Raw genomic sequence first — 6,459 nt, forward strand, 5'->3', positions numbered from 1 at the left:
CTATGTAACTCATGACTCTTGTTTTCTTTTTGGTTTGCCTTTGTTTTACACATTGTTAAGTCTAATAAATTCCAAAAGAAGCCCACATTTTCCCTTCAGACTATACCTATCTTAACTTGTAAGTTATTATCTCTTTGTAAACATCATAGCACTTATCTGTTTCCAGCCATTGAACTAGAATGGAAGAAGGGGTGAGTTAATTGCTATCAAGTGCATTATAATCGTAATTTTTTCTACTTGGAATGCACCATTTCCTTACGTCTAATTCTTAATTATTTTTCAGGAACTAACACAATTGGCACATTTTTAAAATAAAATGTGATTTATTAAGCCTGCATGTGAGGAGCATGCTAAGTGCCAAGATATCAGGCAGAATGTCACAAGATACTGATAAGTCTTCCAAAGATTGGAAAATATTGCTCAGAATAAGGTCACAGTGGCAGGCTGATTTCTCTACTGATAATGTCTTTAGTTGACAGGATGGTAAGAGGTGGCTGAAATTGAGAGGATTGTGAGAGAATGCAGTAGGATAATGTTTGCTCCTAGCTTTTATCAGCTTCGCTCAAGAAGATATTCTTTAGTGCCAAGCCAGAGATGTGCATAGCCATCATTCTATGTGCTAGCATTATTGGTGTCTCATCTCTGTATTAATCCAGAGAGAACTGTAACATGCAATGGCAACTTGAAAATCCAATCCAGTACATATTTCAATGACATCTTGCCTTTCTATTTATGTTTTTCCACTATGCTTGAAGAAACTCTTCATTAAGGAACTTCACAAAGATTGACTTACAAAAGAAGTTGCCTTTCAGGCAGTGCCACTTCCATGTCACAATTCACTGTCCACTTTGGTAGAACACTTGCAGTTGCCTCAGTGGGTCAGACACACCTGGACTACTTTCTAAGGAAGTGACAATTTGTCTTGCTTTGTTCAGAGATAAATAAAACCTCCTTTAAATAGATTCACAAGAAAAAGACAGGGAATTAGTAAAACAGCACTAGGCTTTTTGGTTTAGTTTTATTAAATTTATTTCTCAGAAGAAGCTAAATTCTAGATGGAAGTCTTGTTATGAATGTCCTTTATTATTATTATTATTCTTATTTTAATGAGCTGTTCAGCAACACAGTCAGGATAGATGTTTTCAAAAGTCTGAGCTAGCAGGGTATTGTGGCTCATGCCTATAATTCCAGGGAAGGCAGAGGTGGGAGGATTGCTCGAGGCCAGGAATTTCAGAACAGCTTGGGCAACATAGCAATATGCTGTCTCTAATACAAAAATGAATAAATAAATAACAATTTTTTTAAAAAAAATTGCTGAGCTGATTGGTTGATTGGTTAGGAATGGGAAACAAAAGTTCACACCCACCAATGTGACTTACATAGAAGGCTCCTCTCCCTGCCAAGGGTGACCCTCTTTCTTCAGCTCCACCATCTTCTCACAATAGTATTATGGAGTCACAAATCTGCTTTCTCAACTCTCCCTTCTCTGTCTTCTTTCTCACTGAGGTATGAAGACTAAAAGTTGATCTGTTATTTGTGTTTAAAATCTGCTATCGAGTTCACACAGAAGCAGATAAAGGGGTCTCATTGCTTTTCTGGACAATTCTACACAGTACCATGCTTCTCAAGATTTGGATGTGACTCATTTCATACCACAATGAAACTCAAACACTCTCAGGAGGCTTGCACCACTGTTGGCAAATGAAGTCAAGCCCATAAATATGAAAAGTGTCTGAATTTTCTTTTAGGGAAAAGAGTATTGAGTGGGAACCATACTTTCTGAGGCAGAACTTCAGCTCTAGGATTAATACACTGTCTCATCAGGAGTCAGAGCTCCCCATTTCTCTAAAATGAAGAGGCTGGATTAGATTATTTCTAAGGGCTATTCCAGGCTTAAAAATGATTTCTAATTGTAATATATTTGGGACAAGTTCACAACTTGGTCATTTCTCTCAAATGGCAGGATCTGACAAATAAGATGCTCACAATAAATATTCATCAGAAGAATAGATGTGTGGATGGATAAATGTGTGGATGGATGGATAGATGGATGGCTAAACAAGTTAAGTGCTTATTGTTAGCATTAACTACCTCATTAATAACCTATGGCCTATTGGCTTAAAATATCATGCCAGTTTAGAAAATTGTTTTCATTCCTTGTTCTTTGTAAGCTCTTTCAGGGGCTAAAACTTTACAGAGAACTGTGATGGTTAATTTTTGGTGTCAACTTGACTAATTTGTAGTGCTCATTTCTTTGGTCAAACACCTGTTGAAAGTATTTTTTTTAGATGTGATTAACATTTAAATCAGTAGGCTTTGATGAAAGCAGATCATCCTCCATAATGTGAGTGGCCTTCATCTAATAAATATGAAACAGCCAAGTATAAACGGGTCCCTGGAGAAACTCCGATCAGCCTGCACACTGGGAGGACAGGGTGGAGCCTTGGAAGTTCACGCCCTTTGCAAGGGGGAGGATCCTGGCCTTTCCTGTTCTGAGGTGGAACCTGGGATTCAATCGGTTAGGTGAGAAGCCCACTAGCAGGACTCTGGCTTTGCTAAGAGTCCCTGTTTCTCTATTATTTCCTTTTCCCCCAATAAACCCTGTCCTTCTCACCCTTCAAAGTGCCTGCAAGCCTAGTATTTCATGGTCGTCTGACAAGGACTCCATTTTTAGCTGAACTAAGGAGAAAGTCCTATAACAAATTGATGAACTTAAGAGCAAAGTCTGAGGTCCCCCAAGAAGGAAGGAATTCTATCTCCAGACTGCCTTCAGACAGCAACTGCAAAATCAACTCTTCCCTGGGTCTCCATCCTCTTGACTAACAAAATCTGGACTTAATCAGCCCCCAAAATAATGTAAGCCAGTTTCTTAAAACCACTCTCTCTCCCTTTTTCCCCTACTTCAATTTCTATTGGTTCTATCTCTCTTAAAGTCCTTTACTATTACAATACCTATGTATGTTTTTGACAAGAGAGGCATAGTTGATATGTGTTCTTATTTGGATGGTCAAAATATCATCTCATTAGCAATAAAGGATATAGTATCTCACTTCCTGTAGCATCTTCCTGCTACATCCACTTCCTTTGACATCTCACTCCCTGTAACCTCTTGCTGCTACATCTACTTCCTATAGCATCTCACTTCCTATGGTATTTTGCTGCAACATTTACTTCCTGCAGCATGTCACTTCCTGTAGCATGTTGCTTCTACATCCACTTCCTTAGCATCTCACTTTCTAAAGTATGTTGCTTCTATGTCCATCTTCTGGCTTACAACGATGTTTGGGTCATTGATCTCAACCTTTTCCACCTCATTTGTTCTTCCTTGTGAAAAATCAAAGACGACGACAAATGTTTGTTATCAGTAAGAGAAGTCAGAAACAAACTCCCACTTGAAAACCAGTGGCAATCTGTTCAAGGAAAAATAAGATAGGAAGCCATTGGCATTTATCTCTGTGATCACATATCATTCAGTTCTGCATCTCCAGCATCAAGCAATGTAAGAGACATAGAGGGTCCTCAATGAAATTCTCTGGAATTAACGGATGCAATGGCTTCAAGGTTTGCATGAGTTAATCTCTCTTCTTTCATTATTCTCCATTTTTAACCTTTCCTTAGGCTTCTCACCAACTTTTCCCTCTGGTCTTTTAAGTGCCAATTGTTTTTTAGTATTTTGAATCTATCTCTTTCTCCACATTTATTTTACAAATCCTTGTGGGCTACTCTCATCTACCTAGCATATACAGTTAGATTTTTAAATACTATTTCTACTCCCACTTTCTTTAAGAGCTCCAGAATGTCCTGGGGACTCCCAGTACCTGAAAGGAGTTAATAACACCCTAGTTCTTTCCTCGTAAGTGTGGGTATCGCTGCGTTAGTGATTATAACATTGTGTCACAGATATTGTTTTTATCTCTTGCCCATCACTAGTGTATGTTTTTCTGGAAAATAGGAAATGTCAGGATCTAGCGCACAGTAACGTTTATTTAACATAGAGCTGGTTAACTGAGCATGTAAGTTTATTGTATTCACATGTTCTGAGCTTTCTTTGGCAAATAAAAGATTTGACGGTTATGTATTCTAGGTGAAAATGGATATATTTAAGGAACAATATTCACAGAGAGCCATGACAATAACTCCTATTTAAAATGTAAAACTGCACAAAATATAGGCACAATAATAGCTACAAATAAAGGTCACAGGTCATGCCAAATTCATGTGTATTGCACCAATATATTGAGGTGTTTGGATGACTATATTGAGTGATGGCACTATTTTGGATAATTTGTCTGTTATAAAAGAACCATTTTGAAGGACATTCCTAGGTTTCTAGGAGTAAATAGCCTTCCTACCACAGAAGTAGACATCTAACACAATGTTAGTTTCTTGTTGAACATTAATTTATTTCTCACAACAAGCCTTTGGGGTAGATATAATGCCCCTGTTAAATCTAAGTTTCTGTAGTGTTAAAGAGCTCACTTGTGGTTTCACAGCTTTTAGATGGTAGAATTGTGCTCTCCACTGTTTTATGTCTAAGATCAAAGCTTGGGATGGCCTATTCTTCTTGGAAGCCTCATGGAGACCTGGTCAGGACTGCTATCATTCTAACCAGGCAGTAGCTCCACAGGGAGATGGATTACACATTCATTTTGTTTTTTCTCCTTCACAGCACTGGACACAGTGCCTTGTATTTAGGAAGTACTCAGTAATCCTATTGCACATTTCCAGGTCTGACAGACCCTGGGCCATCTTCCAAAGTCGCCACCTGTGTGAAACAACTTGTGTAATTTACCTCCTATGATTGCTCAATTTTGAACTGCACAATCTTTTTTTGACAAAGCCTCTTGTTGTGTTCATTTTTTGTTTAGAACTATATTAATAGACAGATATAGATACAGACTTTGTTTTCTGTTTACACTGTACTTGGACCACATAAATCTGGACATGGTAGTGCAGAGTAAAGGGTAGGAAATGCATTGCCAGCTGGCAGAACGTGAGACCAGTATGTCCCCAGTTAAAGAATATTGAGTCAGTCTGTTCTAATTCCTTTACAGAACTGCCAGTCTTCATCAGAGAGCAGACTATCCTGAACCAACTTACTTCGAATCTGACAGGATTAATAACAACCCACCCACAGGTGTTTCCTCGAAACCTTTTACACTTACTATTCTCTGCCTAGAAATGTCTTCTCTGAGACACTCATGTGGCTGGTGCTCTCAATTCACTCAGGTCTCTGTTCAAATGGCACCTTATTAGAGAGGCCTTTGTTAGTGACCCTTATAAAATAGACTCCCTAGTCAGTTTCTAGCCCTTTCTCAGCTTTATATTCGTTCATAGCACCACCTAGCACCTGGCATATTTATTTATTTACTTATTTGTTTATTATCTGGGAACTTTCACTGGAATGTAAACTTTCTAAGAGCAGAGAATGTGTTTATTTATATCATTATATCCCCAATGCTTAGAACTGTGCCCCAGTGCCTAGTACTGAGGAGGTGTTCAATAATCATTTTTCAAAGTGTAAAATAATGAATCATAGCCAGTTATAGCCAGTTATAGGAACCGTAAAATAATGAATCATAGCCAGTTATAGTAACCCTAAATGCAAGCATCTGATGATAGGACCCCCATTGTGTGTGTGTGTGTGTGTATATATATACATATACACATACATATACATATACACATGTATATACATATATATATGTATACCATTTTATTATTTACTATTGTGAATCTCCAGGTGGCATGTATTAATAGTATCTAGCTTTTTGGACTTAGAATGGTGTTTTGTAATCATGGAAAAGGCCTAAATGACATTTTTAAGAAAAGACAGATAAATGAGCTACACTGTTTCTCATTTTCTTTGAACGATTCGTGTATTCTAAATTCCTTAGGATCCTCCTAGGTCTCACCAGTCAAAGTCTAAATAAAGTTAAATTGGCAGCAAAAAACATCATAATCTCTTTGCTACTGGAAGCCAAGCTGAATTCACCATCTTTTCTTTGCTTGCTACTAATAATTGAAAGAAAATATTATATCTCATGTTTAGACTTACCAGTGGTTAAGTGGTCAGGGGCTGTTCTAAGTAGCAGCCTTCTGGTGCTGAAGAAATTGTAAAGTATGTGCAAACAAAAACACACACAAACTGATTGGACACACTAGGGTAAGGAACGGTACTGGGGTAAATCTCCCTCACCTGTAGAGTACCTTGTGATTTTCCCGCCTCTTCCCTGGAAGTTGAATGCCTGCTGGAGCTGAATTCCTGCTCCATCACCTGTGTGCTGGTGACTGAAATAGAGATTAGCAGGGAGACCCACTCCAAGTTTACCTAACTTAGAACTGAGTCTTTAACTTACCCATATTGACATCATATTCCTGTTGTAACCTTTGGTTCTTTGGGTTTTTAAAAAGCATGTAGTTGAAATTTATATTTTAACCTTTGGGAACAGGCAAACA

The sequence above is a fragment of the Homo sapiens genome, chromosome 2, assembly GCF_000001405.40.
Source record: "Homo sapiens chromosome 2, GRCh38.p14 Primary Assembly".
NCBI classification, from domain to species: Eukaryota; Metazoa; Chordata; class Mammalia; order Primates; family Hominidae; genus Homo; species Homo sapiens.